The sequence below is a fragment of the Homo sapiens genome, chromosome 11 (genome assembly GCF_000001405.40).
Source record: "Homo sapiens chromosome 11, GRCh38.p14 Primary Assembly".
NCBI classification, from domain to species: domain Eukaryota; kingdom Metazoa; phylum Chordata; class Mammalia; order Primates; family Hominidae; genus Homo; species Homo sapiens.
The window spans coordinates 69077152-69092465 of record NC_000011.10 but is presented as its reverse complement, the minus strand read 5'-3'; the positions used below and the strand labels follow the sequence as shown (position 1 = coordinate 69092465).

At 56.5% G+C, this 15314-nt stretch overlaps 1 protein-coding gene and 1 non-coding gene across 2 annotated transcripts in view, besides 4 other annotated features; both read right to left on the bottom strand.

Annotated features, from left to right (window-relative positions):
- TPCN2 (two pore segment channel 2) overlaps window positions 1869-15314 on the bottom strand; it is a 41666-nt gene continuing 28220 nt past the window's right edge. The window contains exons 14-25 of the mRNA NM_139075.4: window positions 13865-13984; window positions 13673-13732; window positions 13446-13574; window positions 12583-12632; window positions 10967-11066; window positions 8450-8521; window positions 7180-7256; window positions 6714-6795; window positions 6536-6618; window positions 5862-5943; window positions 5260-5354; window positions 1869-4591 (exon numbers count right to left, since the gene is read on the bottom strand). Coding sequence (NP_620714.2) covers window positions 4513-4591; window positions 5260-5354; window positions 5862-5943; window positions 6536-6618; window positions 6714-6795; window positions 7180-7256; window positions 8450-8521; window positions 10967-11066; window positions 12583-12632; window positions 13446-13574; window positions 13673-13732; window positions 13865-13984 — 1029 coding nt within the window. The 3' untranslated portion in view covers window positions 1869-4512. The remainder of the gene's footprint in view (window positions 4592-5259; window positions 5355-5861; window positions 5944-6535; window positions 6619-6713; window positions 6796-7179; window positions 7257-8449; window positions 8522-10966; window positions 11067-12582; window positions 12633-13445; window positions 13575-13672; window positions 13733-13864; window positions 13985-15314) is intronic.
- Window positions 3574-3713: a silencer, noted in NCBI's record as "silent region_3690". NCBI's record gives its function as "represses an Ori minimal core promoter by ATAC-STARR-seq in GM12878 lymphoblastoid cells {active_cell/tissue: GM12878}" and the evidence as "EXISTENCE:reporter gene assay evidence [ECO:0000049][PMID:35858748]".
- Window positions 5880-6379: an enhancer, noted in NCBI's record as "H3K4me1 hESC enhancer chr11:68853555-68854054 (GRCh37/hg19 assembly coordinates)". NCBI's record gives its function as "activates a minimal SCP1, AML or CMV promoter by ChIP-STARR-seq in naive H9 embryonic stem cells {active_cell/tissue: H9 hESC(naive)}" and the evidence as "EXISTENCE:reporter gene assay evidence [ECO:0000049][PMID:30033119]".
- Window positions 6380-6881: an enhancer, noted in NCBI's record as "H3K4me1 hESC enhancer chr11:68853053-68853554 (GRCh37/hg19 assembly coordinates)". NCBI's record gives its function as "activates a minimal SCP1, AML or CMV promoter by ChIP-STARR-seq in naive H9 embryonic stem cells {active_cell/tissue: H9 hESC(naive)}" and the evidence as "EXISTENCE:reporter gene assay evidence [ECO:0000049][PMID:30033119]".
- MIR3164 (microRNA 3164) lies at window positions 9208-9290 on the bottom strand. The gene has a single exon (NR_036122.1). It is a non-coding gene; the product is annotated as a microRNA 3164 (primary transcript).
- Window positions 11502-12701: an enhancer, noted in NCBI's record as "P300/CBP strongly-dependent group 1 enhancer chr11:68847233-68848432 (GRCh37/hg19 assembly coordinates)". NCBI's record gives its function as "activates an origin of replication core promoter dependent on BRD2, BRD4, P300/CBP, MED14 and CDK7 cofactors, with strong dependence on P300/CBP, by STARR-seq in HCT116 cells {active_cell/tissue: HCT116}" and the evidence as "EXISTENCE:reporter gene assay evidence [ECO:0000049][PMID:35650434]".

The window sequence follows — 15314 nt, the reverse complement described above, 5'->3', positions numbered from 1 at the left end:
GTGTGCGGGGCTCCCGGGCTCTCTCCCCTTAGTAGATTCGCCCTTGCGCCGGTGTGCGGGGCTCCCGGGCTCTCTCCCCTTAGCCGATTAGCTCCTGCACCAGGACCACACTGCTGTGGCTGCTGTCCCAGCAATGTAAGTCAGGAATAATGGAGCAGCAATTCCCTCAACTGGATTCTCCCACAGAAAGGATTTTTGCTCTTGTTTTTGTACTTTCATGTTAATTTTTCAATCAACTTATCAAATTTTGTGGGAAAAAAATGGCATTATGTTTAGAATTATAATGAATGTATGGATGAAATTGGAGAAGGCTGACATTTTTACAATATCAATTCTTTTTGACCATGAAGATAGAAAAACTGTGGTGGCCAGAATTCCAAGATGACCCCAGTGATCCTTACCCTTACATAATCTCCTCCCGTGAATAAGTCACTCCCGGAATTGGGATATGTTAGGTGGCACACAGGACTTTTAAGGATGGGCAGTTGTCCTGGTGGGTCTGACCTAATCAGGTGAAACTGTAAACCACACAGGCTTTTCCTAGAGATTCAAAGGGTGAGTGGGAGTCAATGTGAGGCAGCTTCTTTGTTGCTGACTTTGAAGATGGAGGGGACCCTATGGCAAGGAATGTGGGTGGCCTCTAGTCCCTAAGAGCAGCCCCTGGCTGACAGCCAGCAGGAAACGGACATCAGCCCAACACCTGCAAGCAACTGCATTTGGCCAACAACCCAAGTGAGTATGGGAGCAGACTCTTCCCCGGAGCTCCCAGAAGGAACCCAGCCCACTGACACCCCAATTTCTGCTGAACGGAGGACCTACCAAGCCGTGCCTGGATGTCTGACCTGCAGCTTGGAGCTAAGAAATGAGGTTGTGATAAGCTACCAAGTATGTGGGGACTTGTTACACAGCAACAGAAAACTACATAGTCTCAATTTACTTGTATCTACAGTCATGGGCTTTAATGAAGTTTTATAGTTTTCTGTATATAGGCCTTGAATATCTTTCCTTCCATTTATTTTTAGAAACTTTAAGAATTTTTAATCTTATTTAAATATCTTTTAAAAAATGAATATAACTGAATCCTTGAATATAATTTATAAGCTTATTGCTAGTGTCTAGAAAAGCAATTGATTTCAGTATATAATCTCAGGGCAGGCCAGGTGCAGTGACTCACACCTGTAATCTCAGCACTTTGGGAGGCCAAGGTGGGAGGATCACTTGAGCCTAGGAATTCAAGAATAGCCTGGGCAACATAGAGATACTCCATCTCTACAAGAAATAAAACAATTAGCCAGACCTGGTGGCATGTGCCTGTAGTTACAGCTACTCAGGAGGCCAAGGTAGGAGGACTGCTTGAGCCCACAAGTTGGAGGCTGCAGTGAGCCATGATCACACCACTGCACTCCAGCCTGGGTAACAGAGCAAGACCCTAAAATAAATAAATGAATAAGTAATAAAGTAAAAACTTTTTAAATCTCATAGCAAACAACTGTGCTGAATTCTTTTTTTTTTTTTTTTTTTTTTTTGAGACGGAGTCTCGCTCTGTCGCCCAGGCTGGACTGCGGACTGCAGTGGCGCAATCTCGGCTCACTGCAAGCTCCGCTTCCCGGGTTCACGCCATTCTCCTGCCTCAGCCTCCCCAGTAGCTGGGACTACAGGCGCCCGCCACTGCGCCCGGCTAATTTTTTGTATTTTTAGTAGAGACGGGGTTTCACCTTGTTAGCCAGGATGGTCTCGATCTCCTGACCTCATGATCCACCCGCCTCGGCCTCCCAAAGTGCTGGGTGAATTCTTACTATTCTTAATAATTTTGGCTTTTCTATGTAGACATCATATTTGAGAATAAAGCATTACGTTTCTTCTATTGCTGTTTTTATGTACTTACATATTTATTGCATCTTAATGAGGCAGGACCCTCAGCAGCATGTAGATTTTGCTGTTGCTGATTGTAAAGGCCCTGACAGTGACAACTTCCATTTGGAAAGCTGTTTGCTGAAGGTTTTGGCAGCAGGGCGTCCACACAAGAGGGGTACACAGTGTGGGAGTCAAAGCCCCAGTCGGATGAGCAGGGCATCTCTGTGGGGAGTGGGTGGCAGTGATGGGAGGCTGGGGACATGCAGGAAAACTGACCCAATAATAGATTAAGGAGAATGAGAACCATTCCCAGAAAGGGCCTTACAGCTATGGAAAGAGAGAAAAACTGGAACGTACCCTGTGGTGCTGGGCTAAAATCGGAGGTATTAGTATCATTCCCAGCTGTGAATAGATGAGACAGAGAGAGAGATGGAAGTACGTGCACATATCCTCTAGCTCTGTCCACTAAGAGCTCCCGGGTGCAGCAATCTGCAACAGCCAGGAGCACGCCTCGCACCCACATCCTGGTTCCTGATGCTACTCTCCATTCAAAAGAACAGGTCTTCTTAGAGCTGCAGCTCACTCCAATAAATGAAAGAGAAAGGGGCAGGCAAGTATAAAATAAGGCTTGAACATCTTTTTGCACCAGAAAGTAAAGAAACAGCTAAAGAACTGTAGGTACATAACAAAAAAAACACAAAAGGCAGAAGAAGGGGCTCCCACGGGCCAAACAAGCAGGACCTGAGCCTGAGAGTAAATGTCATAACAGACCACAGCCCTGAATACAAGAAGGGACCAGGATCCACACAGGTGGGAGCAAGGAAGGAAGGAAAAAGTAAAGGCAGTTTGACAGGGATGGGATATTGGCATCGCTTCACACTACCTCCCCACTCATTCATTACAAAGGGGTCGTTCACTGGGCAGTGGAGAAGCTGACCAGGGCCACCTTCACCAAGCAACAAGAGAGAACACCAGCAGGAGGCTAACTGCATTGGGCAGCCCCTGCCAGGAGGCAGTGTCCATCCTGTGACACTCCTAGACGAAACGCAGACCCAGAACCTACCACAAGGAAACGTCACATGAACACAACCTGGGAGCCATGGGCTTATCTCCAGAAGTGCCAAGGTCGTCTAAGCCCAGGGAGACGGAGCCACCGTCCAGGCGGATTAAGTCGCCATGACCACAAAGCCACGTGCGACTCACTCCTGACATGAATGCGGGTTGGACGCCGTCCCAAAGCACAGAGGGTGCAGGGCCAGAACGGCAACCACTCAAGTGACTCAGAAGGAAGCTTCTCTTTACTGTGCTTACAACTTTTCTCCAAGTTTGCGGTGGTTTCCATATTGTTATTGTTATTGTTATTGTTATTATTCAACACGAGTAAAAAGAAACTCATGACCTTCTCCTTGGACTCGCTCCTCTCCCCAATCTCGATACCGACTGCACTGTTGTTCGGGTCGCCCCCTCCCCCACCATCCCACAGGGGCTATGGCGTGGGCTCAGCACCTCTGAAGGAAAAGCAGATGAAAGAACTTGTGCCTCCCAGGCGAGAATGCACAGTGCAGGGGCAACCCTGGCAGGGCCCATCCCTTCCTGGTCCCGCTGAGCTCGGGCACAGACCGGGCACCAGGCTCGGTGTGGAGTGTGATGGGGAGTGGTGTCCCCGGAGTTGTTTCTGGGAGTTGCTGGGTCCACCTTACCTTAAATGTAGTCAACCAAGTCCCATCCCACCACTAGATGGCACCCAAACCTCAGCAGAAAGGGGGCGTGGGTTGGCCCCTGAAGTGAGAAAACCATTGGTCAATCTGGACCTGGCGTGCTTCAGGTGACAACAAGGCTTTCCACACACTGCTCGCTCGCCCCACCTCCCCACCCCAGGCCCCCTGCCACACACCTGAAGACACAGGAAATAAGGTCACCCATTGGCTTATACATGCCTTTGAGCAAAACAGAAAAGGTGCCCCTCACTGCAGGTAGACAGCCCCCCGCCAGGATACACCTCACAGCCATGTGCCCTTGTGCAATGCACAACCCAAGCAACCTTACTCAACAACCCTACTCCAGAGAAGCAGGACTAGAACTGTGCTGAAGTGAAGAATGACAATCCCATTCTTTGCAAGACTTATTGATGAAAATAACTGGCAATCAGAACCCTAAAGAAACACACCCAGTCACACTCATACAAGCCATGAAATAATAAAACACAGTCAAGGTTCTCTCCATGTCAAACCACCAGCATCCCCACCTGAATGCCCCGGAAGTCTGACGGTTAACCTGTGCAGGCCCTGGTCAGGCCTGTGGTCCCCAAGGGCTGCCGGCAGCAAAGGCACCACGGAAGCTGCAGGGGACAGGGGAGGCCGCTGCTTCTTGCATTTTTGTCTGAAAGGTCCCTGTGGAGTCGACGAGGGAATTCTCACTGAAGCAGCTATAAAAGAAAGCGGAGGGCACGGCGCCTCCCTGAAGCACCAGCAGCTGTTCTGTAGATGGTTGTTGGGCCACACGCAAAGGACTTGGTTCCTGTCCCCAGCTTAGTGGTCCGTCAGAGGAAAGGTCTCTTCCTGCCTGGCTGGCCACAGCATGGCCGCCTCTTCCATGACGGGCACCTGTGTAGGCCAGCCTCTCTCTCCTGCCGCCCCTGCTGGGACGGCAGCCCGGACGTCACCTGCACAGCCACAGGTGCGGGTGCTGGCTCAGCCTCTCTGTGAGCTCATCCTCCCCGGGCTCCTCCAGAATATCCCTGTGGAATTGAGGAAAGATGCACACAGGGGCCTCTAAAGGAGGGAGACCCTGGCCTGCCCACAAGAACAAGGGAGCAGAGCTTAGCAACACATGCGAAGTGAGTGTCACAGGGACACAGAGACACGGGGACTCAGATGAGCCTCAGGATGGATGTAGCCACTAGAAATATCTACACGGCATTCTTAAAAGCCCAGGGGCCACGTCTTCCCACTGGCTGGCAGGACCGCAGGGCTTGGCTGCAGCAACTCGGCAGCCCCTGGTGGAAGGCACAGAGGCCCCACAGCAGGGCTGCCTCTGGGTGGTCACTTTTCTGGACTAGCAGAGGAACCATCTCAAAGCTGCCAGGAGAAGAGATGGGTGCGTTTTCCTCAGGTCCCTTGTTTACATCCAACAGGATCCAATGGACCCTGAAGGATGGTGCCTTAAATATGCCCAATCCAAGAGCAGGAGAGCAGGACAAAGGCTATGACGCCAGTGGCAGGAAGAAGAAGCCGCCCCGATCCCGGCTCTGAGCTGCTCTCCTAGAGCACAGGACCAAAGCCAGATAACCGGGCGGAGGGGGAGGACAGTCATCAGGGCCTGCCCGCCGCCTCAACCCCTCCACCCCCCAGCTCTTGGCTTCCCATCCCAGGGGGCCAGACAGAAGCGCCTTCCCCACCCACACACCTGAACAGGAGCTCCACAGTCATCTGGTAGGTGGCCTCTGGGGTCCCAGCAAGGGGCTGCAGGTGGCTGCGGGGGTCCCACTTGTGAAGGAAGTTCTGGCAAGCAGGAGGAGTGGCCAGTGAGTGTGGGCCCCGAATGAAAGCAGCCTTGCCCCATCCCCGGCCCCTCCAGGGTCAGCCACAGGGCACCCGCTGAGGGGGCTGAGCCATTCACCCTGGACACCCAGGCACAGGCCCCACGAGGCTGCTGGCTCCTCCTGGAGCCAATGTCCAAGTCCCTCCTTCAGCCCGACCTGGGGGCCTGAGAATCCCCACAGCCCAGATGTCAGGAGCACCCCCCAAGGCCCCAGCAGCCCAGATGTCAGGAGCACCCCCCAAGGCCCCAGCAGCCCAGATGTCAGGAGCACTCCCCAAGGCCCCAGCAGCCAGGGCGGGCAGCACTGAGCCCCACGGGAGGGGCTCAGCCTCACTCAGGACCCGCCTAACCCAGCACGACTCTCCCATCAAAGTTCCAGGCAGGCCCGGCCGGTGGCCTCAGGCCCATCGAGAGTGAATTAGAAACAAACGACCATGGAGAACAGCCTGGGTGGGGATCTCTGATACCTCCAGAATCAGGGCCAGAAACAGGTTGACCCAGATGACAGACGACACCAGCCACCACAATACAAAATAGATCTTGGACCACCTGCGGAGGACAGAGACCCACCCTGTGAACCACGATGAGCAAAGCAAGAGCACTCGATACAAACACCACTGCTGCGTGGCCAGGACAGCTCTCGGGCAGCCGGCCCACACACACCATGATGCAGAGCGCGTTACTATTTCCATCTCAGAAACAACCCAACTGAGGCCTAGAAACGTGCAACAAGCTGCCGAGGTAGCTAAGCCAGCAGGAGGCGGTGCTGGGATTAAAACCCAGGACCATCAGCTGGGGCCAGTCTGAGCTCTTCAAGCTCAGAGCTGAACTATCTCGTTCACTCAGCCTTCCCGGGGCTCCCCCACCCCCATGGAATTCCTCAGAAGCCCCAAACACACCAACGACCTCCAGGAGGTGTAAACCCAGAGTCACTGGCCACCATCCTGAGAGTCACGATGTGGCTATGCAGGGGGCAGGGACAAGGCAAGCCAGGATGCCACGCTGGCCGACTTCCCTGTCAAGGCCCGAGTCCCCGTCCCAGCCACGCTCCGGGCGTCCAGTGCAGATGCAGCGTGCCCGGAGGTGAGGGAACCCCCAGGCTGCACGGAGAATCACTGCCGTCAGGGAGACGAGGACTCACGGGCCTGAGTAGCGCCGATATGCATCCAGAAACACCTGCCAGTTGTTCACCACCATCAAGTTCCACAGAGTGACCAGGGCAGCCTGCGGGGGCAGAGACCAGCGGTCCAGGAGGGCCCAGGAGGTAGGGAGGGGAGGAGCCCGGGGAGCAGGGTGCTGGGACAGGGCGCAGGGCTCACCGCAAAGTCATCGAAGTTGTTGGCCCAGTACTCCAGCTGCTCGAAGCTCCCACAGGGCGCCGAGCCATTGGCAGGGGCCAGGCTGGGGAACACAACACACCTGGGTCAGGGGCGGGGGCTCCAGGTTCTGAGGCCTGATACCTTACACCCCTTTCCTCTGCTGGCGTGCTCAGCCTGGCCTGAAGGTACAAATTGGGATACAGAGGCTCAGAGGGCAGGGAAAGTGCTGCTCTGAGCAGGCCACGAGAAATGTGTTTAGCAGACTCCAGGCAAGGGCTCCTAGGAGAGGTGCGGAGCGGAGGTGGAAATTGGGGGTCGGGAAAAGGGGGTGGAGGGAGGAGACGAAGGAACTGGGAGAACACCCTCCCATCCTGAGATGCTGAGCCCACTGAGGCCACCGCCAAGGCTTCCCGCCCACCCCAGCACCCCTGAGACACTCCCTGTGGCACCTCGGACCCCACCTCACCTGCTGTTTCCAGGAAGAGCCACAATGACGCCTCTAAACAAGTTGATCCCAATGATGGCAAATACGTAGTAGACCACCTGGCGGGCCAGGAGCCGGGGACTGATCAGCCCCACCCATGGGTGCACCCACCACCACCCTCCCCAGACAGAACCGCAAAGCCAGAGGATGACTGTGAGGCCAGGACCCTCTGCCCAGGGCTGGGATTCCAGCCTGGCTGCTACTTCAAAACACACGCAGCTGGCCTCCCCCAGGGCTGGCGGGTCCACAGACACAGTGGGGCTCAGGCAGGCGTGGTCATGGAGCTCCTAAGGGAATTAGGGCCCTGCCCCCAGGTACCCTGGCAGCCACAGTTAGGGGACAGGCTGCCCGCCAACCCCAGGCCTGTCCCTAACATGCGTCAGCAGAGTGGAAGGGGTACACGCCTGGGCTAACCTGGTCCCCTTTCTGGGCCTCAGTTTCCTCTGCTGTGCAAGTTAGGGGGCTGGGCAGACAGCACCTGAGGCAAGATTCTCTTCCCAGCGTCTATTTCCAGAGGCGCGAGGCACAGCTGGGGTCCAGCCCAGAGCACCCTGCGGCCCCAGAGACACCTTCTCACCCCAGTGGTCCCTACGTCAAGGTGGTCAGAATAAAATGGCAAAACTGCCTGAAGTGTGGCCGGGCTTCCTGCAAAGGGCGCCTCCTGTCACTCTGCACGGCGCGGATCTGGGGCCTGCCTGGTCACAGGCCCCTCTCCTGCCCAAGCCCGGCCACCAGGCAGAGCAGATGGGCTCCTCAGCTGGAAGGCTGGCCCCCAGGGAGGGGCCGGGGCGTCCCACAGTTCTCGCTCAGCAAATGTGGCTGTGAGTCCCTGAAATTCCTCTAAGAAAGGAGCCTCGACCAAGTCCTCATCCCAGGGCTTGTGCAGGCTTTGGGGTCCCTGGAGCAAAGCCCTGCGCCTCTTAAATTTCTGTCATTACTTTCTCAACGAGATCCACAACCCAGAAAACACGAGAGACTCAAAAATTACCAAACAGTCTCTGCCATGGGAGGGAAGGATGCTCAGGCAGGGCCACCAGCCACACCACCCGAGCTCCCTGCTGTACAAAGAAGGGGATGCCTCTGGCTTCTTACCCCGACCCTGTACTTCCCTGGCCTCAGGAACCTGCTGCCGTCCGAACCCAAGAACCTTCCTACCGACAGAGCAGTGAGCCGGCCCGGCACTGCCTTCCGCCAGCCTCCCAGCCTCCCACTCCAGTGCATAACCCGCCACCAGCAGCAGCCTGGGACTCACCACCAGGATCCCGCCAAACGCACGCATGTTCTGCACCAGGCCCAGGACGGTACTGGCCACCACGGCCATCAGCTGAGGACAGGAAGAGAGCACAGCCCTTACTCCTCCTGGCCCCACTGAGGGGACACCATCCCGGCCCACCACGCTGACCCTGACAGAAAGGCAAGATGGGGCAGGCCAATGACCACCAACCCACACACACACACCTGGACCCACAGCCACCCCCACACGCCTCTACACACCCACACAGCCTGTCAGGCCCCCACGTCCACCCATACACACCCTCGCACCCCAACACCTACATCTACCCACACGCATTCGCACACGCTTGCATCGCCACCCGCACGCACTCACTCACCCACTCCCGCATCCCAACACCTCCACCCCAGCCTCATTCAAGCACGGACTTCAAATTCCTGTGGGAGGCCCTTCTCTGCCTCCCAACCCACTGCAGGTGGGTCAGCTACTCTGTGGCCTGGAGACGCCAAAGAAATGCAGAGCTAGAGGTGGCAGGAGCACCTGCAGGAACTGAGTCTGAGAAGGGGCCTCTGAGAACCAGCAGGGAGGCCCCGGCTCCAAAGAGCCGCTCCTCCTCATCACAGCCTAGCCGGGAGAAAGGCCTTCACATCAGCCCCATCAACCCACCTGAGGAATCCAAACTAGACAACACAGCTGAACGCCACAGTGGAGACCAGTCAGCATGTACGTGTGCACACGTTGCGTGTCATCGTGAGCATGTATATACTCACGTGAGAGGTCCTGGGAAACTGCGACTTCAAGCAAAACGGCATGATTGCAGGGTCTGCTGTGCGCCATTTCCCTTAAAGTCACAGTTTCCAAGAACCTGTGGATAGCACTGAGGCCTTACTGTGGATGTGTGCACACACGATCATGCATCTTACACGGGCACAAGTTCACATGGATATCTGCATGCGATGTGTGCACACACGATCATGTGTCTTACACGGGCACGAGTTCACAAGGATATCTGCATGCGATGTGTGCACACACGATCATGCGTCTTACACGGGCACGAGTTCACAAGGATATCTGCATGCGATGTGTGCACACACGATCATGCATCTTACACGGGCACGAGTTCACGTGGATATCTGCACGCGATGTGTGCACACACGATCATGCGTCTTATCCGGGCACGAGTTCACATGGATATCTGCACGTGATGTGTGCACACACGATCATGCGTCTTACACGGGCACGAGTTCACATGGATATCTGCACGCGATGTGTGCACACACGATCATGCGTCTTACACGGGCACGAGTTCACATGGATATCTGCACGCGATGTGTGCACACACGATCATGCGTCTTACACGGGCACGAGTTCACATGGATATCTGCACGCGATGTGTGCACACACGATCATGCGTCTTACCCGGGCACGAGTTCACATGGATATCTGCATGCGATGTGTGCACACACGATCATGCGTCTTACCCGGGCACGAGTTCACATGGATATCTGCATGCGATGTGTGCACACACGATCATGCGTCTTACACGGACATGAGTTCACATGGATATTTGCATGTGATTATCTGTGCATACGGTGATGCGGGCGTGCGTATTAATGTACGTGTGTATGTGCATGATGATGTGTATTGTATCCAAACATGATTGTATATGTGTGACTGTGTATGATCATGTGTGCCTGTGATTGTGTGTGTATATGCATGTGCATGGTCACATGTGTGGTTGTGTGTGAGATCACGTGTGCTTGGCTGTATTGTATATATGTATGATTGTGCTTGTATGGCTGTAATTATGTGTGAACACGTGTGCGCGTGTGTGTGCGTATGAAGGTCCCAGCACAGCAGCCCCGTAGGAAGGCTCAGGACCCCTGAGCTGCCTTCAAGTGGGACATACTGTCAGGTGGGACAGGTGCACAGCTCAGAGGAAGGATGAACGGGGACAGAGGAGGGACCTGGACACTCAGAACATGGGTCTTAGGACATGATGCCAGGAGCAGCAAGGCCCAGACCCCCGACCTCTGCCTGCCTGCCCCTTTAAGGTGCCCATTGCTCCTAACCGGTGCATTAAGAGAAACCAGCCCTCAGAGATGGTCATGAGCCACCTGCGCCCGCATTAGAGGATCCTGGAAACAAGCTCCCTGGCCAGGGATACCACTGCCCCTCATTAATAGCACCCTGGGAGCCATGGCAAAGGCCTTTCTGGGAACCTCAGAGACCTGGGGGAGCACTGGTGTCCAGGGCTCCAGCCCCAAGGAGCTCCTGCCACTGGCCAAAGCATTGCACCCGCCACACCCTTGCCCGCCTTCCTCTCCCAACCCAGAAATGCAGGGCTGGGCTCTCCTGCTTCTAATGACCCTTCCCCAGCATCACAAGAGCACGGCAGAGAGCTGAGGGTGCAGCCAGGGAGCCCAGGGTGACGGGCACAGTCCTCGGGCCCTTCCTGCCCCAGGCTCACCCACCCTGGAGCAACGCAGCAGCATGACCCAGGAGGGTGGGGCGAGTGGGGGTGGGGCCGGCACACACCTTCATGCTGGGGATGATACGCAGGAAGCGGAACACGATGAGCATGTTCAGCATGCGGGTCATGTCCCACAGCGACAGCAGGCCCACCATCTCCGGCCTCCTGGGGAGAGACACGGGAGGCGGGTTGGGAGGAGCCCAGGAGCCCCACAGGGAGGAGACAAGGAAACGCGCGGGTTCCTGGACGGAGGCGCAGGGAGGGCAACAGGGCATGACGGGAGTGCACCCCACAGCCAACACCGAGCAGAAAAGCCTCTGCAGGGTGGCGAGAGGGCGGGGCCTGGGCTACTCACTGCTCCGCTTCCACCTGCAGCCCCGGAGCGACCCCCATCCCCCCAACACCTTCCCAGCCAGCCCTTGCGGGAAGGCTGCAGCCCTCCTTCTACACAGACCCTCTGTCCACACGGGAGGGCATGGAGGTTCCAGACACTGAGACTTGCTCCAGCTCAGGCCCCAGCAGAACTGCGTGAGCCCATGTCTCCTGCCCCGGTCTCCTGCGCCAGCCCCATCCCCTGGTTCCTGCCCCCATCGCCCACCTCCTGTCCCATGACCCTGACCCTGACCCCATCCCTGACCCAAGCCCCGCTTGGCATCCCTCATGGTCTTTCCATGCTTTCATTTCTGTTGAAACTCAAACCCATTCTCACCCACAGTGTCAGCCCCCCAAGGTAATGACTCAGAACAAAGTGCAGCGGGCATGCTCAGTGCACATGAAAGACAAGGCAATGCCAGCCCCACGGCACAGCACAGTGGCACTGCCTGCCTTCCTGAGGTAAGTTCTGGGGGGCTTCCTAGGGAGCTGACGGAATAGCAAGGCTCTTGCTGTCCACCGTCCCCACCCCCACCAAGCGACTCCCAGCTGCTCCCTAGGCAGTGGGGTGGATGACACAGCACACAGAGACCCAAGGAGCCCGGCCTAACCACAGGGCCGAGGCTGGCATGCTGGGCCCCGTGCCCCACCCTTCCTGTCTCATCACGGGCACACCAGAGCCACGCTCTCAGGGCAGAGCAGCCTGGCTGACAGCCCTGTGGTGCCACGAGGCTCCAGGGTCCCTGCCCAGGTTGTCTCTTCATGGCCAGAACCCCGGGCAGTGGTGAATCAGCACACAGCCTCAGAGTTCAGTGAGCCCCGGGCCCCTAGCTCCACTATTTTAAGGAGGCTAAAGTGATGTCCAGAGTGGGAGGCGATGACTCAAGGTCACACTGTGAGGCAGGGGCTCTCCCAAGGACCTTCCCGCCAGCAGAGGGGCCCAGCCGAATCCCAGTGGTCACAGGTCCCCTGAGACCTGAGCCAGGGGCATCTCTGCTGCCAGCCCCCAGCATGTGTGCTGGGAGGGGGAGCCCACTGCCGCCCGGGAGGGCATCTCCAAGGGGGAACAACGGCTTCCCTCCACAGCCTGCGGGGTGCCAGCTTCTGGAGAGAGGACCCCCAGAGCGACGGCAGGGCCCTGCCCCGACACAGCCTCTGCTGTGGGATCGGCCCACCCATTCCACCATCACGGGGTCTGCCCTAGAGTCAGAGCAGACCCAGCCCCCTGGACACCACTGAGACCCTCCCAGGGGCGCTGGGTGGTGGTGCTGTTTGCTGTAGCCGCCCTCGGTTCTGCCCAGTCACATACCAGCCTGGGTGTGGCAATCGGTACACAGCCAGAGTTGAGATCTCCAAAACCTTTAATTACAAAAGAAAAGAAGGCTTCGCTACAGCAACACTAATCTGGGCGGCCCTTAAAGGAATTATTATAAAGCTCATCTCTAACACATTCTCCCCAAAAGGGGCTTTTGGGGAGAAATCAGAGCTTGGTCCTGGACCCCACGGGTTGGTTCCAGATGTCAGGACTTCTTTCAGCTGGAAAGACACCCTGGCCTCAGGAATCGGGGGACTGCACAGATTGGGGTGGCAGAGGTGGCAGAGAAGATACTGAGTCAAGGACAGACTGCAGGGCCCTTTTCAAATTTCTCTTCACCTATGTGCCGAGGGGCCTGCTGGCTACAGCAAACGTCACTCTCATGTGGCTGCTTGTGACACACACACCAAGTGTGGCATGCCCTCACTCCCACTGGGTCTGGGGAAAGGAAGTGTAAGCATTTCCCAAGAACACCCTGGTGCCTGAGAGCCCCCTGGCCCCTCGCTCCACCCATGCTGAGGTCACACCGTCTATCAGTGACGTTTAAGAGGCTGTTCCCCGGGCTGGAGTCGCTGGCCAGGGCTACAAGTCCTTCAGGGCTTCCCCTGGGGGTCGGGAGGGGCAGCCTGCCCCCCATGACACTCGGATGCAGTAGAAACCCAGCCTCCTAAAGACCTCACCGGCTGCCCACTGAGCAACTCGGCCAGCAGGGAAGCCAGCCCTCACCACTGAGAGCAGAAGCCCACCTTCCTACAGCCTCTAGTCCTCAGGGGAGGCCTGAGATGGGCCAGCACAGAGCCCAGGTGGCGCTCACCCACCCGCCCAGTAGAGGCCGGCCTCGGATGCGCCTACTTTACCAGCAGGACAACGGTGAGGAGCCCGTCAAACACGTTGCTGGGGTAGGACAGGTACCCTCGCAGGCCCAGGGCAAAGACCTTGAGCAGCATCTCCAACAGGTAGTACACAATGAAGACGCAGTTGAGAATCTGAAAGGGGCAGAAGAGGCACCCAGCATTGGGCCCCAGGGCTGCCAGCACTGCCCAGCCTCACCCTGGCCCTGACAGGTGGACAGCTCAGAACTTACCCCCAGGATGAAGTCATCACGCTCAGCAGGCAGCACATCTGCATCCAGCACCAGGAACACCTGCAACGCCAGAACAGAGGGCTCGCCGGCTGGCCCAGCACAGCGCTGGGCGAGGCAGGAGGGGCAGGCTCCCCTGCAAGGTGGGCGGGAACCGGCACTTCCGTGCCAGCTCTGGGGCAAATCCACACTCACGCAAATGGACACCAGGTTTGCCAGGGCGATGAGGTTCCCCAGGTAGTCAAAGTAGTAGTGGCCGAAGAGGAACTGGGCGCTCTGCAGAAACGGAGACTGGTACTCGGGCCTCGGCGGGTGCTGGGCAAGGAACACACGTGCTCAGAAGCACAGGCCAGCAGCCGTGGCTGTTGCAGCCCAAAAATGCTCACACCCTCTTATTCTGGGATTTGATTTTTTCCTACCCCATCTCCCGTCCTATCTATCCAGCCACAGGAAATAATCCCAGACACAGAAATCGCTTTATACACAAAGGTGTTCATCTCAGTGGTCTTTGTAACACCCAAAGAGAAATAGAAGCAACTGAAACATCCACTGAGGCTGTAAGTAAACCATGTTGTGATATTAGAGTCACCTGAAACATACGCAAAGTGTCACCCTGATATATATAAAAAAAAAAAAAGCTGTGTGAAAAAACACAGGTAAGTGATATACTCATAGCTACAGAAACTCAGCACAGAACCAACTCCTGTACTGTGGCCAGCAGCAGCAGGAGGCAATGAGGGGCAGGCGGGCAGACGCTGCCACTGTCAGGACCCTTGTGAGACCCAGCACTTCCCACGCTCAGCAGCCTCCTTGAGACACGTCTGTGTGTGCAAGAGGTCAACAAGGGGAATGGCCTAAACATTTCTCAGCAAGGAGACCTGCACCCGCTGTCCCACACGGGAGCCACTGACCACCGGCGGCTATTTCATGAAAATTTCAATGCAACAAAATTCAACACTCAGTTCTTCGGTGGCAACAGCCACGTGTCAAGTACTCCACAGCCACATGTGACACGTGGCTACAGCTCATCCCCCCAGAAAGTCCATATGAAAATGGAGAGGGTAAGAAGACATGGCTGCGTGAACAGGCAGGCTGCAGAGTGAAAATCGCAATGCTTCATGTATACGTCAAAGAAGAACAAAGCAACTGTTTCCCCAGGTAACTACAAATGCCTGAAATTACACAGGGAAAAGTCTGGAAGGAAAACACCAAAATATCCAGTTGAATAGAGTGGCTATTCTCCAGTGAGACCCAAACTGGTGGTGCCAATGATCAGCGAACTTCCTCTCGGCTCCCGACATCCTCCTCGATACGCACTCTGCCACAACGGGCAGGGTCCCTTTCAGCGTCTCATCCACAGTGAACGGGAGTTGAGGCTTTCTTAGCGGAGGGGCTGGAGGGACACAGCAGGAGGGCAGGAGGGCAGGTGGAGGGACATGGCAGGAGGGCAGGTGAAGGGACACAGCAGGAGGGCAGGTGGAGGGACACGGCAGGAGGGCAAGTGGAGGGACATGGCAGGAGGGCAGGAGGGCAGGTGGAGGGACGTGGCAGGAGGGCAGGTGGAGGGACATGGCAGGAGGGCAGGTGGAGGGACATGGCAGGAGGGCAGGTGAAGGGACACGGCAGGAGGGCAGGTGGAGGGACA